The 25,061-nt window shown below is 45.2% G+C and overlaps 2 annotated features.

Annotated features, from left to right (window-relative positions):
- Window positions 5,279-5,498: an enhancer, noted in NCBI's record as "active region_28587". NCBI's record gives its function as "activates an Ori minimal core promoter by ATAC-STARR-seq in GM12878 lymphoblastoid cells {active_cell/tissue: GM12878}" and the evidence as "EXISTENCE:reporter gene assay evidence [ECO:0000049][PMID:35858748]".
- Window positions 22,293-22,829: an enhancer, noted in NCBI's record as "NANOG hESC enhancer chr9:94334217-94334753 (GRCh37/hg19 assembly coordinates)". NCBI's record gives its function as "activates a minimal SCP1, AML or CMV promoter by ChIP-STARR-seq in primed H9 embryonic stem cells {active_cell/tissue: H9 hESC(primed)}" and the evidence as "EXISTENCE:reporter gene assay evidence [ECO:0000049][PMID:30033119]".

The raw sequence follows: 25,061 nt of genomic DNA, 5'->3' as shown, positions 1-25,061 counted from the left end.
CACTTGTGAACATAAACACAAACATCCTTTAAAAATTTACAAATGAAATGCTTCGGTGTATATCACACATCAGCACACCTCACCTGAGGATTGCAAGATTATTAACCTTAGGAAATATATTAATATAATTCATTGAGTTACAGGTTAAAGAAGAAAAAGCATGCTATCCTCAAAAGGCGCAGGGAAAAAAGCATTTGATGACATTCTACATTTACTCATTAAGAAATACATTAGCAGGCTGAGTGTGGTGGCTCACACCTGTAATCCCAGAACTTTGGGAGTCCGAGGCTGGTGGATCACCTGAGGTCAGGAGTTAGAGACCAGCCTGGCCAACATGGCAAAACCCTGTCTCTACTAAAAATACAAAAATTAGCTATGCACGGCGATGCACACCTGTAATCCCAGCTCCTTGGGAGGTTGAGGCACAAGAATCACTTGAACCCAGGGGGCGGAAGTTGCAGTGAGCTGAGATCGCACCACTGCACTCCAGCCTGGGTGACAGAATAAGACTGTCTAAAAACTACAACAACAACAACAACAAAAAAATAAAGTAAAAGAAGGAAAGAAAGAAGAAAGAAAGAAAGAAAGACATTAGCAAACTAATATAATATTAGAATGGGACTCCTATGCCAGGTAAATACTATCTGCTGGAAACCTACAGCAAATATTAACATTTAACAGGCAAAGATTAGAAATAGTCCCTTTAAAAGCAGATATGCAGTGAGACTGGGACTACCACAGTGTCCAGTCGGCATTGTCGTGAAGGTCCCAACCAGGACAATGAGATGAGATGGAAAAGATAGAAGTAATCGTTGCAGAAAAGAACAAGACAAAATTATCATTTGCAGATGATAGCATTGCCAATACAGGAAATGGAAGATAAAATAGAGACAGACACAGACTAACAGAAGATTGGTGTTTTCATAATATAAGAACATTTGGGCAAATCAAAAAGAAAAAGTGCAATATGGGCAAAAGAAGGGATAATTCACCAAAAAATCTGATTGGCTAATAAATGTGAGTGAGAGGTTTAGCTTCACAAAAATCAGGAAATGCAAATAATAAATGAAACAGTTCGCACCCATCTGATTGAAAAAAATCATTAGGTGTGATAATTCTCAGAGCTGGTAAGATATGGGATAGTGAGGACTGTCACTCTGCAGAGTCATTTTGCAATGTTTAGGGAGAGACTCAGCAAATTCAGTACTAGGAAGGAGTATTTTAGAGAAATCGGTAAATGATTTCTCTTAAACACGACAATGTTAATTGTGTTCGGTAATTGTCAGAGACTTAATGACAATATGTGACGGAAAATGGAAAATAACAGACATTACTTAAGGACAAGGATACATTAAGAGAAATGTGTTGTTAGGTAAGTTTTTTTTTTTTTTTTTGAGACTGAGTCTCTCTGTCACCAGGCTGGAGTGCAGTGGCACGATCTCAACTCACTGCAACCTCTGCCTCCCTGGTTCAAGCGATTCTCCTGACTCAGCCTCCCAAGTAGCTGGGACCACAGGTGCATGCCACCATGCCCGGCATGTATTTTTAGTAGAGATGGGGTTTCACCATAATGGCCAGGATGGTCTCGATCTCTTGACCTCATGATCGGCTTGCCTCGGCCTCCCAAAGTGCTGGGCTTATAGGCGTGAGCCACCGTGCCCAGCCTTGTTAGGTAATTTCATCATTGTGCAACCATCACAGAGCACATTAACACAAACCTAACTAGTAGAACCTACTGCATACCTAGGCTATGTGGTAGAGCCTATTGCTCCTGGGATACAGACCTATATAGCATGTTCCTGTACTAAACACTGTAAGCAGCTGTAACACAATGGTAAGTATTTGTGTATCTAAACATAGAAAAGGTATTATAATCTTATAGGACCACTGTCATACGTGCAGTCCATCGTTGACCAAAACGTTATGTGGTGAATGATTGTATTTGTAACAGCAAAAATCTGGAAGCCGATTTGTTGTCCATCTATAGGGACTTGGACAGATAAATTGTTGTATATTCATACAATAAAATAATGTTAATCAGTGAAAATGAATGTAACAACATAAACTAATCTTGAAAAAAAGTTGTTAAATAAAAAAGGTAGGCTGGCTGAGGTGGCTCACACCTGTAATCCCAGCACTTTGGGAGACCGAGGCAGGCAGATCACTTGAGGCCAGGAATTCGAGACCAGCCTGGGCAATATGGCGAAGCCTCGTCCCTACTAAAAATACAAAGATTAGCCGGGTGTGGTGGTGTGTGTCCCAGTTGGCACAGAAAATTCAGTACTCCTGTACCGAATTTGCTGCTGAGTCTCTCCCTAAACATTGCAAAATGACTCAACAGAATGACAGTCCTCCCAGTTACTTGGGAGGCTGAGGCACAAGAATTGCTTGAACCCCGGGGGCAGAGGTTGTAGTGAGCCAAGATTTCACCACTGCACTCCAGCCTGGGCAAAAGAGCAAGACTCTGTCTCAAAAAAAAAAGAAAAGAAAAGAAAAGAAAGAAAAGTAAATCATTGCAAGGCAATGCACACCTGTGTAAAAATGTAAAACACACAACAGAATGCTATACCTTGGCTTTGGATGCATAATAGTGAGGGAAAGGTATAAAAACGTGGATCTGTAAAGCCACACAAACTTAAGGAGAAGGGTTCCATGGAGGCCGGGCATGTGGTGTGGGATTTTCAGCCCTGCTTATGAAGCTCTACGTAAGAAGCGGAAGCAACCGCAGAAGGTTAATGTGCTCTCAGCAGTGTGCAGGAGCTGTGTCACTGTATTTTTTGCTTGATTTATTCTCTGTCAAAAAAAGGAAGGAAGGAAGAAAGAAAGGAAGGAAGAGAGGAAGGGAGGAAAGAAGGAAGGAAGGAGAGAGGGAAAGAAGGAAGGAAGAAATGAAGGAAAGAGGGAAGGAAGAAAGGAGAGAAGGAAGGAAGGAAAGAAGGAAGGAAGGAGAGAACGAAGGAAGGAGAGAAGGAAGGAAGGAAGGAGAGAGGGAAGGAAGGAAGAAAGGAGAGAGGGAAGGAAGGAAGAAAGGGAGAAGGGAAGAATAAAAAGGGAAGGAGGGAGGAATCCTCGTGGTGTGGGGATCGGGTTTCTGTGCCTCTTCTGCCAAAGTGTTCCCTTTGGGAACCCCCAAGTCAGTGGGTGTGCTCTGCAAACTCCTTGCATCCTAAAGCCGACAACCCTCAAGAGCAGGCTGAGTGAGACGGAGTGGAGCTGGCTCAGGTATAGACCCAGGTGGTGCTCACAGGGGCTGCCTGGGCCAGGGTTCAACTTGCCATCTAGGGAACGAGGATGAGCCCTCAGATTCAAGCAGGCCTGTTGGGGAGACCTAGGCCTTGTGCGGTCGTCTTTCTCCTTAAGAAAAAAATTAAACCAATAGTTGGCTGTTGTGGGCAGCCCTTTCTAAGGTCATCCTGAGGGGAGGTTCCCAGAGCCAAAGCTCCCTGTCAGCAATCCCTGAAGCTCACCCCCAAGGCAGGCTCTGGCTTGAGAAGCAGCAGAATGCTCTGCGAGTGGGGGTAGCAGGTGAGGGGGCTGTGAGAGCACAGAGGCTGGTCCACCTGGAGGTCCTGACTTAGCGAGCCTGGGGAGGGCCCCACAGCATGCTTTTCTAACCCGTGCCCCCTGGGATGTCGAAGCTGCTGGGCCAGGACATATACATCTTGAGAGCCCTGGCTCTCCGAGTGTCAAAGCTGCTGTTCTGAGGCTGAGGCTGGTGGATCACTTGAGTCCAGGAGTTTGAGACCAGACTGGGCAACATGGCAAAGCCCCATCTCCATATATATTAGCTGGGCATGGTGGTGCGCACCTGTATTCCCAGCTACTTGGGAGGCTGAGGTGGGAGGATCACTTGAGCCCAGGAGGTCGAGGCTGCAGTGAGCTATGATTGTGTCATTGCACTCCAGCCTGGGTGATAGAGCAAGATCCTGTCAAAAAAACAAAAAACAAAAAACTGCTGTTCTGGAAGCACACTGGGAGCAGGCATGGAGCTGTGGGAGGACGCAGGCAGGATCAGGCTGTGTCCACGGTCCCCTGAGGCTTAGGAATTGATGAGACTGTAGAATGTCCCATCATCACTGACAGTCAAGACACACCTATGCCTCTCCTTCATCATTTTTGCAGGATCAGGAGAGAGTAAGAAAAAGGACAGGGCCTGGTGGTACTGGGCACGTATATATTGGACAGTGTCTGTCTCCTTCACAGGCATGGGCTGGTGGGGATTGTGAGGCCAACATGGCTAGGGAGGGGCCTCTGCCTAACGTTCCCTTCTGTGGCTATGCGATGATGCTCTGGGCTGACACCTCAGAGCATTCTGATGTGGAGGGGACGGAGTTCCTAACCCTTGTAGCTTTCACTGAGATACCTGAGTGCGTTGCGTTTCTTTCCCTTATACTTCTGAATCTCTGCATAATTCTGGCTCAACATTTTCTTTCAGGAAGTTGAGTAATCTCCCATAGGCTTGAGGGACACAGTGTCCAGGTGAAAAAGAAGGATTAAAAAAAAAAATCTTATTTCCCAAGTAGGTGTACCCTGGCAACGTTGTCTGTTAGGAAATGTGGGGCACTTTTTGTTTTATTTTGTTTTGATTTCCATTTCCATTTAACAACTGCCCCCAAAGAGCTGCAGAGGATTAAATTACAGAAAATGCAATGAGACCTCTGTTGCATTTTATCCCTGTGGAGTCTCATGTTGACATGGGCAGGCAGGAGCCAGGAGATGTCCAGGAGCTCTGGGGGCTGGGCTCAGGTTGGGTCCCTCTTCACCAAGAGGCTGGGGTGGGCCCTTGGGGACACCTGAAAATACTGAGAGTGAACGGAGTCCGTGATGGCATCTGTTCGATATGAACCAATGCCCTGACTCAGCTGTCCTTTGCCAGGGCTGCAATGAGTGTCTGGCCACAGAAAGGGCCTGTGGTCACAGACACTGATGGGTGGAGGCAGGAAGACCCCTCCCCACTCAAACATCCATTAGGGACAAGTCCCCAGAACTACATGGGTGGAACGAGCTGGCACTGCCCCCTGCTCCCTCCACAGCGCCAAGCAGTTGTGAGGGTCGCCTCCTGACCTGGCAGCCGCAGGAATGGCTGTCCCCTCCCGGAATCTGTCATCTCCTCGAGGCCACGACAACACCCTCTTGCCACTCACACATACATCATTTGAGGTCCAGTGTCCCCCCAGCACTCCCAGTTCTTGCTGGAATGGGCGATGTGCTGCTTAGAAACCAGCCCCGGGGAAGCCGCCTCCTCCAAAGCAGGCTGCAGGGAGCCCCGTCAGAACTCTGTGCTCCCTCTGGTGTGGGAACCTGGGCTACTGCCATGATGGTGAGGGTGGGGGATGTGGAGTTGTGCCAATTCTACACCCAGGATTGGCCTGCTCTGTCGTTTGCCAAAAGCAATACACAAATAACAAATAAAACTCACGCTAGTGCCTGACCTGCTTTCCTGAAGATGGCTTCATCATGTGTTGGGAAACCCCTGCGTCAGGGACTTTCTCTTGGCAAGCCTCCCACTCACATGGGGGAGAGAACGTCAAGGGGAAGCCAGTTAATACAGTGAGCAAGGGCTGAGGAGCCCAGGGGAAGAAAAGAAGTATCAAGGATGCTGGCCCTGGCTGGACTGATTCCTGGTTCTCTGATCCCAGGCCCTGGCCCCTTATGATGGTTCACGTTATGTGTGGACATATCTGAACCACAGTGCCCGAATGAGTGGTCACATATTATTCACGGTGTCTCTGTAAGAGCCTTTGGACGTAAACTGCACCATCGACTCTTCCCTGAGTCTCTTGCCTGCTGGCCCACTCCCAGATTTTGGGGTTGTCAGCTTCCGTAACTGCATGAGCCATTCCTTGAAATAAATCTACCTATCTACCTATCATCTGTCTATCTCTTTGTCTACCTATCATCTATCTACCAGTGTATCTGTCTACCTACCTATCATATGCATATCTATCTATCATCTACCTACCTATCTACCTGTCCTCTACCTGTCTTCTATCTACCTACCCACTATCTGTCTCTCCACTTACTTACCTGCCCTCTTCCTATCTATATACCTACCTACCTACCATCTGTCTATCTAGCTGAGTGCTCAGAGGTTCCAGGAGGTCCGCATTGTGCGTTTGTTCACTTTTCTGGGGAGAAACTCCATTCCTTTCATGGAATTCAAAATATTAGTCTGTGGCCTAAAGAGAGTTAAAAACAAAAGTTAAGAACTCCTGGGCTAGTTAATGAAAAACCTGTGGGAGGGAAAAACGATATAACGAATGAAGGAAAATAAGAAGAAAGGAAGGCCAGGTCAAAAATGAAAAAAAAATATATATATTATATATATATTATATACAATAGATCCGCAGAGGATTAAATTACAGAAAATGCAGAGACCTCTGTTGCATTTTATCCCTGTGGAGTCTCATGTCGACATGGGCAGGCAGGAGCCAGGAGACATCTGGGATATATATTATATATATCCAAAATATACATATATATATACATATATATATTTTGGAGACAGAGTCTGGCTCTGTCACCCAGGCTGGAGTGCAGTGGTGCAATCTCAGCTCACTGCAACCTCCACCTCCCAGGTTCAAGCGATTCTCCTGCCTCAGCCTCCCAAGTAGTCGGGATTACAGGCATGCGCCACCATACCCGGCTAATTTTTGTATTTTTAGTGGAGACAGGGTTTCATCATGTTGGCCAGGCTGGTCTTGAACTCCTGACCTCAGGTGGTCCACCTGCCTTGGCCTCCCAGAGTGCTAGGATTACAGGTGTGAGCCACTGTACCTGGCCAAAAATGGATATTTTATTGCTTGTTTTAAAACTCAAATACTTAAATAATATCATAACTGCATTTTAAAAAACTCTTGGAGAATTTTTCTCAGCATTCTACACATTGGTCATTTGTAGACTTCATTAAGCCTGACTCTACAGCCTTCTAAAACTGAACTGTTTGGTTTAGGTTGAGGCATTCAGAAATGAAGAGGAATGCTTTTTTCTTTCTCCTTTCCACCCGACTAAGAAGTCACAGCCCCAAATTTCCCTGTGTTGTCAGTACTGCACTTTGGAGCCCATCAGTTATTCCAGGAACACTTGGTTGATGAGGCCTAAGAGAGATTTCTCCATCCCGGTGCTACGCACCTATTATCCAGGGCTTTCACGTAAGAAGCGAGATTCATTTACGAAACAGTCAGTAAGACACTTCTTTAATTAAGGTCTCCAGTGAGAAAACATACTGTCGTTTTTTTGAATATTCAATTTATACTATTAGAGAGTCGCTTCTAAAACACTCGTGTGTCAATTCCATGCCACGTTCGACTCTTGATAAACATCTCAATGAACGGATGGAAATGGTTAGAATCCTACTGGGCCTGACCTGAGTGCAGCATAGAGCAGTCACCTCTGAATGTTCACAAAGTGCCTCACCAGAGTCAAGCTGGCCAGAAAGGTGGGATGATTGTCTGGAAGAATTGACTACTACTACTACTAACAATAATAATAATAACAATGACAGCAATAACAACAACAATATAACAGCAACTAACGTTTGTCAAAGACAGAACTTGCCAAGCACTGTACTAAGCATTTTACATAGATGCTAGTTCTCCCCTTCGTCTTACTGAGTCATCCCAGCAACTCTAGTACTATTGTTCCCTGTTACACAGGGAGCTGGGACTCAGGGGCATGGACAAATTGCTCAGCCCCACAAGCTGGGGTAGAGTAGAGGGGGGATTTGGCCAGAGCCCTCCTCTGCCCAATGTCCACCACTAGTCTAAGTGGGAGCATGAGGGGAGAAAAACCAAAAGTGTGGATGAAGGAGCATTTTATGGGATACTGAGTGAACAAGGCACTGACTTATAGCCTTGCCCTAGTGTTTGGTTGGGACTCTCAGACCCAAAGAACCGATATCCTCAAGTTACTGTGTGTAGTTTGAAGAAGGCACCAACTTGTTTTCATTGCTATTTTTAGTATTGATTCTGTATAAGAAATGCGACTCCCTCTAAGACACTCTGTAAAGTTGGATGACTTCAGTAGCAGTTTCGATGTTGTTTTAGTTTCTTTCCTGTCTGAAATTGTCCTTTATTAACAAGGAGGCCCTTTTGTTGAGTTTTAATAGTCAAATTAACACCTTTCATCATTCTCTGGCAACATTTCCAGAGCATTCTATAAGCTAGGATTCGCTCCAAAGATGAGAACAGCACATCAGGCTTGGGTGTGTGCGATGCCACTGGAGACGCCACAGGAGAGGCTGCTGGGCAGCTCTGACTGTGGCCGACCACATCAAAGCGCTCTTTGTAAAGCACCACCCCGTGTTGAGTAGTCCCTCCAGGTTCTGCAGGGGCTTGCTTTACACACTCTGCAACCCGTGTTTCATCCAGCAGAGACACCATTAACATTCACATACAGAAAACAAGCTGTGAGCGCTTCTGCATTGGCTGGGGAAATGGCCATGTACATTTCATCCTGACAGATATTGTAGTAAAGAGTGCCCCCATCTAGCAGAAAGTTGTTTTGGGCTGATACATTCAAGGTTTGTCATCATGAAGACTTATTTGGGTCAGACATGGTGGCTCACGCCTATAATCCCAGCACTTTGAGAGGTGAGGTGGGAGGATTATTTGAGGCCAGGAGTTCAAGATCAGCCTGGGCAACATAATGAGACCCCATCTCTACAAAAATTTTTAAAAATTGGGCTGAGCATGGTGGCTCACACCTGTAATCCCAGCACTTTGGGAGGCCGAGGCAGGCGGATCACTTGAGGTCGGGAGTTTGAGGCCAGCCTGGCCAATATGGTGAAACCCCGTCACTACTAAAAATAGAAAAAGTATCCGGCTGTGGTGGCAGACACCTGTAATTTCAGCTACTCGGGAGGCTGAGGCAGGAGAATTGCTTGAACCCGGGAAGCAGAGGTTGCAGTGAGCCAAGATCGCACCACTGCACTCCAGCCTGGGCGACAGAGGGAGACTCCATCTCAAAATAAATAAATAAATAAATAAATAAATAAATAAATAAATAAATAAATAAATAAATAAGTCAGGTGTAGTGGCACATACCTGTAATGCCAGCTACTTGAGAGGCTGAGGTGGGAGGATCGCTTGAGCCCAGAAGTTCAAGGCTGCAGTGAGTTATGACCTCACCATTACACCCCAGCCTGGGCAACAATGAGATCCTGTCTTTAAAAAAAAAAAAAAAGGAAAAAAAAGAAGACTGATGTGCTCACTGACGTCTCTGACAGGGCTGCTGAGTAGTATCTCAAGCCCCAAGTCTGTCGAGGCAACACAGCATTTCCTGCATCATCACCATCATCCACGGCATCCACAGCACCCACGTGATCTGTCTCCAACCCTGTGCTCAGCCGTGGAACATCAATCATAACAAGTTGCTGTTCAGATCAGGTGTCCAGGGCTTTTTCCTGTAGGGACTAACCATTAAGGACACCTTTTCTTCAACAAAACCAACATCTGTTGCATGATTAATAACCACAGCTAACAATTATTTAGTGCTTATTTTGTGTCAGGCACTGGCTTAGGTACTTTATAAACGTGCCTTCTTCACAGCCACGGTATGAGATGTAGGTACTGCTAGCTTTCCCATGTTACATGTGAGAAGCAGAGGTTAGGTTAAATAGCACCCACACATTCACAGAGCCAAATGCCAGATGGCATGGGGTGCTAGCTCTGAGAACACCCAAACCTGGGGGCCTCTGGCACCACCCCAGCCAGGATATGGGGCTGAGAATTGAACTGAAACAAGCAAGAAAGCTCTTCCCAGCAGCAACATCCATGTGAAGTCACCAGGTCCCGATGAGCCTCTTGCCTCCTTAGTTCGACCTGCAGGGTGTCGCACCACCAGCATCTTGCCCTGTGGAGCTGTCCGGGCACACTTTGAACCCTGGTTCTGCTGTTAACTAGCTGTGTGGCCCCGCTCATTTGTTTTCACTGGTAAATGGGAGTAATATTAATAACCCACCCACAGAACTGTTATTAGGGACAGTTGAAAAAATGCATCTAAAGCAGAATCTGATAGACAAAAATGGATGCAATTTTTAGTGCTAGGCCTTTAAGAAGTGGCCCTGTCCTGAGAAGCACATTAATCTCGGGCTGAAAATGATATTTTAACTGAAAATTATGTAATCTTCATGAATTTTTTAAAAAAGACTATAAAGCTCCTCACAATGACTTTTCCAGCATTGTGCTTCATGTGGGATTGGGGAGGAAACCCAACTCCAGCCTCTTCGATTTTCATGTGGCTTTGATGAACCCATGTGCTTTTGCTTGGCTTTAGTGTGTGCTCCTGAGGGCCTGCTTAGCTCTCCCACCTTGCCAGGTGGCAGTGACGGGGAGCCCTGGGCTGAAGCAGCTCACGACACCCTCCTCCCCTGAGACCAGGGCACTGTCCACTTCCACAGCTGCCCAGACAGCTGTCCAAGATGGCCCCACGAGACCTCAACTTTGCCAAAAGAGCAAGTCAGGTAGCTCAGCATACCCACCTCAATAAAACCTGAGGGGCTAATCCCATTCTACAGCAGTTTCCCTGGTGAGCTCACAGTCCCCCGACCTTGCCTATGCAATGGAGCACGTAGGAGCCAAGCGTAGGAGCTGGAAACACTTTTTCCTGCTTCCATGCAAGCCACCCGGAGGTGGCTGCCATCATCGTGTTTCTGCAAGTGTATTCCCCAAAATAGTATGTGAGCGTATTCCCCAAAATAGTAACCACACTATTCTACAATATCCCATATGGCGTGGTGCATGCCTGCTGAGACTACGTTTTACAGCACCTGTCAGGGAGGGGAGTGGGTGGGCAACAGTTAGACAAGCCAGGTCAGGGGAGAGGGATTCCTGAGAACTGCAGACCCATGAGGATGGAGGGGAAGCAGAAACTAGGTTTAACCCCAAGGTCATCCATGGAGGAAATTTGTAAGACCACAGTTAATGGCAGCCAAGGCTCCAAGACATGGCTGTTCAGCTCAGGTTGGGATCCAGGATCCAGGAATAGGGAAGATGCAGTAATCAAGACAGGCTCTCTGGCAGCCTTGCACCTTTAGGGGTATAGGTGAGGAGGCTGGCAAGGGCAAGGGCAGGGACACATTTCCATTACAGAAACAAAATGTAAGTCCAGGTCCTAGAATGGGCCCAAGCTCACAAGAGACTAACAGCATGCTTGACCTCCATAAATCCATTCATCATTCATTATCCATCCATCTATCCATTCACCCACCCATCTATCTATTCAACCATCCACCCATCTACTCAATTCACTCATCCACCCAGCATTCATCCTCCATCCATTCACCCATTCATCCACTCATCCACCCATGCATCCACCTACCTATCCATCCACCCACCCATCCACCCATCCATCCATCCATCCATCCAACCTCCACCCACTCATCCACTCATCCATCCATCCTCCACCCATCCACCCATCTATCCATCCATCCTCCACCCACTCATCCACTCATCCATCCATCCTCCACCCACCCATCCATCCATCCATCCAACCTCCACCCACTCATCCACTCATCCTTCCATCCTCCATCCATCCATCCAGTCATCCACCCATCTATTCACCCAGTCATCCTTCCATCCATCCATCTATTCATCCATCTCATTCTTTTTATCATTCAGTATAGTACTAGTGATGAAAGAAAAATATTAAAAAATATATAATTCCTCTTCTTGGACCTCAAATGGGAGGACAATGCTGAGTCATTCAAGCCAAGGAAATATTCCCCATGCCTCGGGTGACTCCCATCTCTTGCCTCTCCATGAAAGCAGTAAAGGTCTGTCTTACTGGGTCTGTCCAGGTCCTGTCTATTATACTCTGATAACTACATAGAGGAAGGCTGGAAAGGCAGGGGTCCAAGCAAGTTCTCATAGCAACTGTTAAACTTTCCCTAGTGCGTACACAAGATACACGTGATGAGTGTTTCCACCTTTCCTATCCATTAAAAAATGGGAGGCGGGGCGATAAAGAGTTCAAAAAGCACTAGAATTCCAATTTCCAGTGGATTCGTTTTCTGTTGCTGAAAAAACGACCACAAACAGCAGCTTAAAACAATAAGCATTTGTTATTGTACAGTTTCCACGGGTGAGGAGAATAAACTTTCCTGCTTTGCCAAATTCACAGGGCAAATGTCAGTGTTTTCCTATTTACCCACCTCTAATAAGTGCCGGATATTTTACACTCATCATCTCTTATTGGACTGAGACCAGGGCACAGAGAAATTCTACCGATTTCCTAGTGCACAGTCTTGAAAAGCAAGCCAGTTGGGTAACCCACAAGCCCAGCTTCAGGGGCATAAGAGTGGGGGAGCCCCAGCTGTCTGAAATAAAGGGGAGAAGAAGGTCTCGCTGGGACCCTTAGGATCCAAGCACAGCCAGGCTTTTTTCCAAGCCAGCGCCGTTAATGCTAACATTATCCTTTATTGGCTATTAAAAACTAGCTCTGGTTCCCCTTAGTGTGTGGATAATCATAATTACTGTAGGAGTAGAAAGTATGTGGCAATATAGCATGACATAAAGTGCCAAAATGGTAAAAATATTTCCACAAAGGTGTTCTTCCCTGAAAGAACACACCTATTTAGGGACCACAGATGATGTCCTATAATATAGTCTCTTCTCCATGTGTCTAAACCCATGAAATAAGGCATGAGGGAAGGGGTTTTTCCCAGAACACCTCAATGTCCCTCTCTGCCAATCAACAGAATGAGGCTTTTGAACCCCTTAAAGAAGTAAAAGCAGCCTAGCGTGGTGGCTCACGCCTGTAATCTCAGCACTGTGGAAGGCCGAGGTGGGTGGATTATGAGGTCGAGAGATCAAGACCATCCTGGCCAACATGGTGAAACCCCATCTCTACTAAGAATACAAAAATTAGCCAGGTGTGGTGGCACGCACCTGTAGTCCCAGCTACTTGGGAGGCTGAGGCAGGAGAATTGCTTGAACCAGAGAGGCGGAGGTTGTGGTGAGCCGAGATTGTGCCACTGCACTCCAGCCTGGTGACAGTATGAGACTCCGTCAAAAAAAAAAAAAAAAAAGAAGTAAATCTCCCTTTTCTAGATGGCAGGATAGCAAATGTTTGAAAAAATATTGATGCACCTGTTCTTTCTACCTTCTTCAATGTGATCTTCTTCTTCAGCCAGGGCCTTATGTTATCTGGGGAAGATTAGACATTTTATGGATGAAAACAAAGAGAAAGAGGCAATGTCTAGCTTTTAACTTCTAAGATAAACTCTTGAAGCACTTGGTGAGAAAGCAAGCCCAGCTTTGTGGAGAGAGAGACAGAGTTTGGAATTCCCAAACTTGCCATCATATATAAAGAGTGAAGATGAGCAGTTCTGACCATACATGCCCTCTTAGCCCAGGCAGAGAGATCTGAGGCTCTGCACAGGGGAATCCCTCAACAGGGAGGCCGAGGAGGGGGTCTCATGCCTCCAGGTGGGCAGGGGGATGGATTGGAGAGGGAGGTTTGTAGGGAAGGACAGGGCCAAGGTGAGGATGTTATCAGCCCTCCGTGAGAAGGTATAGACCCCAAATGGAGTGAGGTGGAGTGCAATGTAGTGTGGGCTTATCCCTGCTCCTATTTGGAACTTCCCAAGACAGCCATGGCCAAGCAGCAATGGCTAAGAGTGAAGCTTCAGATGATGGCCTAGCCTGGGGCCTTTTCTCTGTGGAAGCCACAGGACAGGGACTGTGCCTGAGATTGCTGGTTGGAGCTTTCAAGGGCACCAGAACAAGGTGCACAGGGACCCCAGAGTAGGAGCTGAGGGTGGGACCCAGTGGGAGTTGCACACAGACCCTGAAGGATTTGTGCCCCCAGGGGCTGAGATGGGGACCTCCCAGGAGCATCGTCTGAGCCCCATTTGTGCAGCATGGGGGAGTACAGGTAGCTGCAGAGCAAGTGGAGCCAGAGACCAGGGTGAGACAGCTAGGCAGTGGGCAGCTAATCTGGAGCAGCAGGCTCCTCCAATGCCTCGAGGCTGGGATGTGCCTCCCTGCACCTAGATGCCATTTGGGACAGAGAAATGGGTGAGCCGGCTGCTCGGAAGACAGGAGCGTCTCTGATAGCTAGAGTGTCTGCAGAAGACTCAGTCTGTGCCTTAAAGAGCCTGGTAAAACCTAAAGGAGAGGTTCAAACTGAGCTAACAGAAACTGGGGAGCTTCATGGTAAATTTGATTTCCCCCCATATCAAGACAAGATTAGTCAGAAAATAAAATATGTTGAAACTGAGGACTAGATAATGTCAAGGAGGAGATCCCTGAGCCTGCTGTAGAAGACAGTTTCCCCAAGTTCCATTTCAGAGGAGTTTAACCTTACAAAGAAAAGAATATATGACTACACCACCCCATGCAGACATCTCTGGTAGGAGGTTGGTGCTGCAGGGCTGAGAAGGGCCAGGGAGGAGGTGCTAACCAGCCCCTGTGGTGACTGCTGAACAGGCTGCTAACAGGATGTCAGAGCTGGAGGTGTTGGGATCTGTCCAGCCCAGCATTTTAATCTCACCAGTAAGGAAATTGTGGTTGAGTGGCTTGTCTCAGCCTTCCACCTAATGCATAACGAGTTAAAATCAGAGCCAGGATTTAAATTCAGGTTTCCAGATATACCAGACAAGTCGCAATTAAAAGAAAGCTTATGCAGCAATATTTCTAACAGGCAAAATAGAATTTGGCAGAGAGCATAAATAGGGATTAAAATAGATAATACATTATGAAAAAAGGAATAATATACCAAGAAGTAATAACAGCCATGAATTTATATGCACTCATCAACATAGCTTTGAAATATATGAAGTAAAAAATTGACATAATTACAAGAAGAAAGAGAAAAGTGGGATATTTTGGTAAAATTATATCACAAACTGCCATATCAGTTACATGATTAGTCAGGCAGTAGAAGATTTGGGCTATAAAATTAATAAGCTTGATTCGATACAAACACCCAAGCAGTGTGTGTGATCCCAGCTCACTGCAGCTTCCAACTCCTGGCTCAAGTGATCCTCCTGCATCAGCCACCTGAGTAGCTAGACTCAGGATAGACTGTTGCACTCAGTAGCTAGAGAATCTATATTCCTTTTAAGGTTATGTAGAATACTTATAAAAACCAATCATATGCTATTTCCCCCCAAAAAACTGAATTCAGAGTATATGTCATAGAAACCATGTGCTCCAACTTCAATATAACTAAAGGGAAAATAATAAGAATTAAAAATGTAAACCTAAATATAAGTCACATACTAAAGAGAAAATAACAATAGAGATTCTTAAGTATTTATAACAACAAGAAGATACCAAAAATAAAAATGTGTGCCTTGCAGCTAAAGTGTTACATGAAGAGAATATTTATAAACTTGAAATGCACTACTAAACTAAGATTGAAAATATATATTAGTTCAAATTAAGGTTTGTAAAAAAAGAATAAAGCATTGTAAAGAAATTAGACAGAAAAGTCGTATAAAGCCCAGAGTGGAAATCAGCATATGAGCTTTTTAAATCAATAAACTTTATTTCTAGAGTAGATTTAGGTTCACAGGAATCCTGAGTGGAAAGTCCAGAGAGTTCCCATATATCCTGCTATTCTCACAGATGCACAACCTCCCTGACTACGGACTTCCCACAGCAGAGCGGCACACTTGTAAAATTGCTGAACCTACACTGACACATTATTATCACCCAAAGTCCATAGTTTACATGAGAGTTCACCCTTGGTGTTGTAGATTCTATGGGTTTTGACAAATGTATATTGATGCAATCACCATGTAGTATCATACAGATTAGAATAAAATCAATTCAGCTTTCCTGATGTCCTGGCCCCTTCTGAGCAGACTGCCCAAGGTCTGTACAGGAGGAGGACACCCAGGGCTCTGCCACACTTTGTCTCCCAGCCCCTTGCTTGCTGGGAGTAGCCCATCAGCTTTTCCTTACCCGTATGGAGCAAAGCCAGAAAGACATATAAAGGCAACCTGAGGATTCCAGAGAACTCTCCACCCTGTGGGAGTTCCAGGATTCCTTTGGTCTGTTCTCTGGGGAACCCCATTTATGAACGGGAACTTCCCAGGATGCAATTTTGAATCAGCCCTGGCTACTGAGAGCTGTCTCTGGCTCCTGGGAACAAACAGCTTTTGCCAAACAAGCACTGCCAGGAATCGTGAGTTCATAAATGAATCCTTAGGAGCACCATTAATTGCCCAATGAGCGATTTCAGGCAAAGTAGGTCTCTGATGTCTCCTAGATGGCAAGTGAGTGTTGGAACTTGCCCCCAAGATTTGGAGCTCTCGTGCAGCTAGTCAAGGGGATGATGGTGGTGAATTTTCCAGCGACACTGCCAAGGAGGGTGTTTGCATCCACCCCTGACTCCATTGCTTTTGTGCTTTGCAGAGCTTTGTTCTGGCCTGCAGAGGCACAGTGGGTCTTCTTGCTTGGGGAAAAGGTTGCCACAGGCAGTTCTTTAACTGTCTTGCATCCTAGCTCCAGATTTTCCCCGATCCCTTTCTCCCTGAAAGGTATAATGCTTAAGTTCTGGTGGCAGCAAGGAATAGAACTTACTTTTTTTCTTTATGAGAATAAACACAGTAATAGCATTCAAGTCGTGTATTTCATGTCGTTATTCCTGTGTGTGTCCTAATTTCCTCTTCTTATAAGGACACCAGTCACACTGGATTAGGGCCACCCTAATAACTGGCATGAACTCCCGGGTGCCTGGCATGAACTCCTGCAATTTTGGTGAAAAGATTCCTCGTGGGACCAAACTGTCTTCCCAGGCCCTATTGTCTCTCATTAGGCACGCATCCCAAATTGGGAAGCCATCTGCTTGTTATCTACAGGGAAGACAGGGAGCTAACATCTAGCCCTCCTTCACCATTGTTAAAATAAATACTTTAGACAAATTCAATTTAACAGAGTTTATTTGAGCAAAGAAGACTGGCAAATTGGGCAGCCCTCAGAACCAGCAGAAGTTCAGAGAAAGAAAAGTGAGGCACAGAAGTAGCTGGATTGGCTATGTTCAGCGTTTGCCTTATTTGGGTGTAGTTTAATTAGTCAGCTGCCGGAGACTGGCTGAGACTGGCTGGATGTTACAGAGATAGCACTCCTCAGCCAGCGTGCGTTCATTCTGCAGGGATTCAAGGTAAGGGGCAGCCCCAAGCCAGTTAGTTTCACACCACTGAGATGCAGAATGTCCTATTCAGCAGTCCAGAGCCCTCCCATTTTAAAAGACAGAATGTTTTCCACCAAGAATTATTTTCCGGATAATTACAATATTTTAACACTCTGCTCAAATTTGACTGTTTGTGAAGCCCAGGCTCAACAGGGTCACATCTGAGGGCCAAGTCTTGGACTTTGAGCAAGAAGTGCCATCAGGGAACTCAGGACAATGTGAAATATAACTACAGAATATAGTGTCTACATTTGAACAGCCTTATTCAGAATAGGCCTATTTCAAGCATTTCATTAAAAGTGACTTCGTTGTTTCTCTCTTCCCCATCTACCCTTTTTCTCGCCTTTGGTGAGGAAAAGATGAGGTGAAGGGCACACATAATCACTTCACGCACAAGCCAGCTGGGTGTCCAGGAAAGGATTTCATTATCTTGCAATGTATTTCACAAAAGAAGAGTAAACTATGGGTTTCTGAAACATTTCCAGTGGTCCTCTGGAGAAAACCAATTCTTAATTCTATAGTTGGAGGGCAGTTTTGATAAATATGAGAAATAATAGATAGCAAAGTTCTACTAGTCCTGACCCTTTTCCACTGCAGACAGAATGGTCTTCAGGACTGGGCTGGGCAAGATGGCTCACGCCTGTAATCCCAGCATTTTGGAGGCCAAGGTGGAAGGATCACTTGAGGCTAGGAGTTTAAGACCAATCTGGGCAACAAAGTGAGACCCTGTCTCCTCAAAAAAAAAAAAAAAATGCAAAAATTATAGAGGTGATGTCATGTGCCTCTAGTCCCAACTACTCAGGGGGCTGAGGTGGGAAGATCACTTGAGCCCAGGAGTTGGAAGCTGCAGTGAGCTGTGATCACACCACTGCACCCCAGCCTGGGCAACAGAGCAAGACTCTGTCTCTAACATAAATAAATAAAATAAATAAAATCAGATTGGAAGTGTTGGTTTCTATGTTGGTCTCCTAGGGCTTCTATAACAAAGTACCACAGACTAGGCAGGCATCTTAAATGACAGAAATGGATTATGTGTCACACTTCTGGAGGCCTGAAGTTGGGGGTCAAGCTGTCATCCCAGTTGGTTCCTGCCGAGGCCGTGAGGGAGAATCTGTTCCAGGCCTCTTTCCTTGTCTTGTAAACAGCCGCCTTCTCCATCCTCACATGATTGTCCTTCTGCGTGTGTGTGTCCTGATTTCCTCCTCTTACAAGGACACCAGTCACACTGGATTAGGGCCAACCTAATAACTCCAGTTAACCTTATAAATAACTTTGTAAAGACCTCTTTCCAAGTAAGGTCTCATTCTTAGGTACTGGAGGGTAGGACTTCAACATATAAATTTGTAGGGGGCCACAGCATATTAATTTGGGGGGTACACATAGCAGTTACCTTACGGGATGCAAAGTCAGTCTGCAGGATGAGAATCCCTGCAGTCCGTGCTTGATAAACACAGCTGTTGGAATAACAAAGGAATCAGAATTCCACCTTCCGTGGGGAGATATGGATTTAAATGGGAAGTACCCGGGTGGAAATTTATGGTTGTAAGGATAACATGGCTAAGCAGTCTCCTTAGTGTTTATTTTCATACATTTCTATTAATAACATTTTTTCTTTGAAAAAATGACCCCTTCCCATGTCCTTTCACGGTTAGCCGCATCTCATCCAACTCAGCATCCTTTTCTACATCTTTTTCCTTGAAGGCAGCCAAGGAACTCCTACAGCCTGTGGAATTCTTCCTTTCTTTAAGCCTTTGCATGCAGCGTTTGAATCACATAATTGGCTTTTTCTCTATTCCGCACAACTTAGCACTTTCTTGGTTGCCAATTTTCTTTTGGGTACAGAGTAGGTGCAATTATTGCATAGAATCTGATGGTGACATGGAGCTAGGAAGTAGTCCCTCACTTTAAGACTTATCCTTGCTGGGCATTGTGGCTTACGCCTGTAATCCCAGCAGTTTGGGAGGCCGAGGCAGACGGATCACCTGAGGTCAGGAGTTCGAGACCAGCCTGACCAACATGGAGAAACCCCGTCTCTACTAAAAATACAAAATTAGCCGCGTGTGTTGCACATGCCTGTAATCCCAGCTACTCGGGAGGCTGAGGCAGGAGAATCGCTTGAACCCGGGAAGCGGAGCTTACGGTGAGCCGAGATTGCACACCATTGTACTCCAGCCTGGGCAACAAGAGTGAAACTTGGTCTCAAAAAAAAAAAAAGACTCATCCTTTGTCTCCAGTTACATCACAAAACTGCTTGTATTATGTTCTCCTCATCCAAGGACAGTGGTAAATAAATAGTAGGTGTTCAATGCATGTTTGTGATTTGTTGTTCTCATTTTTTTGCAGGACCCATTGTACGCATTTGTCCAAAAAAACAAAAAACAAAATCACCCAGAGCCTGTTCAGTGTGGTGGCACTTGCCTGTACTCTCAGTTTCTTGGGAGGCCAAGCTGGTAGGATCACTTGAGCCCAGGAATTCGAGGCCAGCCTGGGCAATATAGTGAGACCCCGTGTCAAAACAAACAAACAAACAAGCAAACAAACAAACCAACCCCCAAACCAGAAAACAAACAAACCCAAAACCCAGAGCCCGACAGTAGTTAAAAGAGTGAAAACAGATTTTAATCAGGAACTATTGCAATAGGGGAAAAGAGACCTTAATTCAGAACATAAATAAGGAAAAGTGAGAATTTATAGCCGAGAAAAAAGATGGGGGTCAGTGAGTGAAAAGTTCCTAAGAAGAAACATCAGGGGTGATGGGGATTCTGGCTAAACCAGCCAAACATGATTCTTGCTAAAGGCAACTCAGGATGACCAGACATCACCTGGGGTGGTAGAGGATGAGAACTGATGGCCATCAGTTCTTGAAGTTGGGAGGTTCTGGTTAAACTAATTTAGAAAGATTCTTGCTAAAATTGGGCATACATGGCCAAGAACAGGGCCTGGTCAGGCTTGACGAAACTGACAAATTTGGTCAAGGAAGATAATCTTTGTTATACTTTTCTTTTTGCCACTTGAGGGGCAAAAACATCAGAAAACCAGGAAGCTCTATCTGCCTCCCATCTCCTTTTGGGGGGCATCTATAAATAGTATTGCCTTTAGATCCAGACAGGAAGGACCCCTGCTATAGGCCTCATATTCTAGAGAATCCTAAGTCTCTCAGACACACACTCAGACAGACACAGACACACACACACAAGAACACCTGGGCTCCTGTGCCTGGTAATAACACTTCTCACTTATGGTTGTTATTTTCTGTAACAGGTCTACCATATCATGATAAATCATACTTACTAAATTTTAATTTTTCCTCATTTGGTTAAGTATGAGACGTGACTCTAAAATGCTGATGCCAGTTCCCTACTAACATAGGAGGTTATTGCCTGTGGGACTTCTTTTTTTTTATATTGTGGCTTCACACAGGTGTTTTCAGGTATCAAACAGGATAATAAATCTAGGTTTTATTTGTTTTGTTTTGTTTTTTGAGACAGGGTCTCACTCTGTTGCCCAGGCTGGAGTACAGTGGCACAATCATGGCTCACTGCAGCCTCGACCTCCCAAGGCTCAGGTGATCCTCCTGCCTCAGCCCCACTGAGTAACTGGGACTACAGGCATGCACCAACATGTTGGCTAATTTTTGTATTTTTTTAAAGTAAAGATGGGATTTCACCGTGTTGCCCAGGCTGGTCTCAAACTCCTGAGCTCAAGCAATCCATGTGTCTTGGCTTCCCAAAGTGCTGGGATTACAGGCATGAGCCACCGTGCCTGGCCTTAAATCTAGTATTTTCAATGGCAGCTGTATAACAAAGTTTTCATCTCCACCATTGCATTAGTCTGTTTTCATGCTGCTGATAAAGACATACTGGAGACTGGGCAATTTACACAAGAAAGAGGTTTAATGGACTCACAGTTCCGCATGGCCGGGGAGGCCTCACAGTGGCAGAAGGCAAGGAGGAGCAAGTCACATCTTACTTAGATGGTGGCAGGCAAAGAGAGAGAGCTTGTGTAGGGAAACTTCCGTTTTTAAAACCATCAGATCTCATGATACTTATTCACTATCATGGGTACAGCACAGGAAAGACCTGCCCCCATGGTTCAGTTATCTCCCACTGGGTCCGTCCCACAACATGTGGGAATTATGGGAGCTACAAGATGAGATTTCGGTGGGGACACAGAGCCAAACCATATCAACCTCCAAGTCCTTTTGTACTTCCACTAGTATCTCTCATTTCTTTCTCCATCTTTCCATTTTACAACTACTCAGCAAAGCCATACTCCCTCTGACCTCAGCTACTGCAACAGCCCTCGAGCTCATTTCCCTAATCTGTCTCCTCTGCTCATCCTCCACCCAGTAGCCACAGTGACCTGTGTGCAATGTAAATGTTAATGACACTACCTGACCTCATTCCCTCTGATGGCTTCCAATGCTCCCAGCATGGGATCCCTTCCCATGGCCAGCACATCTTTCCTGGATGTGCCTCCTTCCTCCTTCTCCTGTCTCACATGGGCCACACACATGCCACAGCACTGGGGCCTCAGCTCACCAACAAACAACAGCGAGCGTTCCCAGCCCCACCCCCCATGCCTTGCTCACCCTGCGGCCTGAAATTCACTCCGTCCTCACTCCACCCCATTCATACTTCCTGGCCATGAGACTAGCTTCTTCTTACACTTCAAGTGTCTACTTGAAAGGCATTTCCCCAGAGATTCTTGTCTTGGCCCCACTGTCTAAAGCAGCTTACCCCACTAATCACCCCTCTGTCTCCTACTGCCCAATTGGTGCCTTTTTCTAGCCGCCATTACTACTGAAACAGTCTGTGTGCTCACTTCCTAGTTACCTTTCTTGCCATCACTAGAATGTAGGGTCCTATCAATATTTCCGTTCAATGCATATTTTCAGGATGAACAAAGAACCTTTATTTTGATCTTTATGGGAAGTACAAAGAAAAGCTACGTAGACTCATCCAAATTTTAACTTGCATCTCCATGGGTTAAACAAAACACTGTTCCTTTTTGTTCCCTCTTTATTTTTGCCCCCCATATTTCTTCTTACCTCTAAAGAGTAAGGTTTTAATAACATTGAAGATATTTTACTAAGGTCTTCTCACATCTTTATGACAGCCCCAGAACCATGCCTATATCCTCGTGCATTTTTCTGCTCTCATAGAGGGAGCTTTTCTACTTTTTCTCCCATTTGAGAGTGCTCTGCTGGTGGAAAGGTTTACTTTAAGTCTCCCCGCTAAGCCTCTGTAATAAGAATACTCTATCTCACAGCTGTCAGCTCTTTTAAACAGTGCTGCCTCTGGTTCTTTGAAAAATGCCAGCCATTTATTTAATCCCGGCTTTGGCTTCAAGTCCACTGGAACAATGGCTAGCATGCCTGTGATTACGTTATCACCATTTCTCTGTGTTGGGAGAGGCTTTGTTGGTACATGTGAGTCAAAGACTTCTTGCTGTTTCCTGATTTTTCTCTTTGTTCTCTCCAGTCTTTCTACTTGGCACCGGTTAGTGTGCCTGGAGGTTTAAGACCAGGTATAATATAGTAGCAAGATGCAAAGCTGGCATATGATGTCAGAAGCAGGTTGAGGTTTTCTGTTTGTTGATAAACTCAGTAAAAGAAAAAAATGGATGTTGTCACCTGTCGTGGGTCATAGTAAACAGAAAGCCACCCCTCTCTCAGGCTGATGGTTGATTCAGGTTCATCCATTCAGACAAATAAATACCTGACAAATATTTATTAGATACTTAATAGGCACTATTAGTTGCTACTCACCTGAGATGGCCTAATGTGGGTAATTTCAATGAACAGCCATTCTTTTTATGAGCTTGTTTAATTTTTTTTTTTTTGAAACATTGTATTGTCTTGAGTGTGACAGAAACGTCCACCAATCTCTGTCTTCCCTTTTCCTTTGGCTATAGACTCACAACTTTTAGTTAGACACATGCTGTCTTGAATGAAGACCACATTTCTCAGCCTCCACTGCGTTTAGTGTGGCCATGTGGGTAGGACTTGGTCAAGGAGAAGGTAGCAGAATGTTGCAAGTAACTTCCAGGAAGAGTCTTTAAGAGGATGGAATGTCCTTCTTATTTCCCTCTCTTTCCTGCTGAATGAAATGCAGATGTAGTAGCCAGAATTTGAGCAGTCGTTTTGATCATGAGGTGGAAGCAATGTGCAGAAGATGATGGGGAAAAAAAGGAATTTCAACAGATTTTTGGGAGAGAAAAATCAGATGATACAACTGGTTTAGAAGGGGGAAGAAATTTACAATCCATGGTGCCTGTAGAGATTGAGGCTAATGGGAAGAGAGTGTTCTGCCTTGCAGAACTTGTGAAATGCTCAGGAATTTGAGGCAGTACATACAGTGGTCAGCTGGATTAATGAGGGCTGGCTGGAGACTGTGGAACAGTCAGACTCTAGAACACCTTCACCCTCCACACTCAGGCAAGTCACTCCTCCAGGTCCTCCAACCACTGCCCCTATAGATGAGATGAGTATTATTCACTGGAGAAGCTAAGCAGGAGAACTGCTGGATGTTGGGAAACCAACTGAATTGCAGGGTAGGGCAGTAATTGTGGAAATTACAGACATGTCTGTATGAGAAACAATTGAATCTATGCCCTCTCTCTCTCTCCCACTTTCTCTCCTAGGACATCTTTTGCAGATGTCACAGACTTCCATCTGAGGTGGAATAGTTTCACCCTGAAACCATGCAACTATAGGCTATCTATAAGAGACACATTTTAGATTCATAGAAACAAGTAGGTAGATAATAAAAGGATGACACAATGTACACTAGGCAGACAGTAGGCAAAGAGAGCTGGATTAGCTATACTAATATCAGATGAAACTGATTTTGAAAGAAGAAAAATCACAAGAGAAGAGAAGGCATTTCACAATTATAAGAGGGTAAACATATCAGAAAGATATAGCAATTATAAATGTAAATGCACCTAACACTGGGTCTCAAAATACATGAAGCAAGGACTGATAGAATTGAGAGCAGAAATAAAGTCGGAGATTTTAATTATAGTCTTTCAAATATTGATAGAACAGCAATTCATAAAGTCAAGAAGGGTATAGAAGACTTGAACAACACTATCAACCAACTTGACCTAAGGGACATATATGGAACACGCTACCCCAAAACAGAATGCACATTCTTTCCTGGACTTCAAGGAACATCCTACAGCAGTGATTTCCAACCCCTGGCAGGAACCAGTCCCAGTCTGTGGCCTGTTAGGAACCAGGCTGCACCGCAGGAGGTAAGCGGCGGGTGTGCATTACTGCCTGAGCTCCACCTCCTGTCAGATGAGTGGTGGCATTAGATTCTCGTGGGAGCACGAACCCTATTGTGAACGGCATATGTGAGGGATCTAGGTTGTGTGTTCCTTATGAGAACCTAATATGTGATGATCTGAGGTGGAATAGTTTCATCCTGAAACCATCCACCACCTCTATCCCACAACACCCACTCCACCCGTTTGTGGGAAAATTGTCTTCCATGAAACTGGTCCCCGGTGCCAAAAAAGTTGGGGACCGCTGTGCTACAGAATAGACCCTAGACCCTATTCTAAGCCATGAAACGAGTTGCATTAGTTTCCTGTGGCTGTTGTAACCAGTTGCCACAAATGTGGTGGCCTAAAACAACAGAAATGTATCCTCTCCCAAGTCTGGACTCCAGAATTCCAAACTTCCAGTCTGAAATCAGTATTACTGGGCTGAAATCCAGAAGTCAGCAGGGCTGCACTTCCTGCAGAGGCTCTAGAGGATGATCCCTTCCTGGCAAATTCTGGCTTCTGGAGGCTGGCAGCATTCCTTGGCTTGTGGCTGCATGACTTAAATCTTGAGATCCTTAATTTAATCACACCTACAAAGACCCTATTTCCATATAGTGTCACATTCACAGGTTTCAGGGATTAGG

Source organism: Homo sapiens, chromosome 9 (genome assembly GCF_000001405.40).
Source record: "Homo sapiens chromosome 9, GRCh38.p14 Primary Assembly".
NCBI lineage: Eukaryota > Metazoa > Chordata > Mammalia > Primates > Hominidae > Homo > Homo sapiens.
The sequence above is the reverse complement of the archived record's forward strand: the minus strand, read 5'-3'. Positions and strand labels throughout refer to the sequence as shown.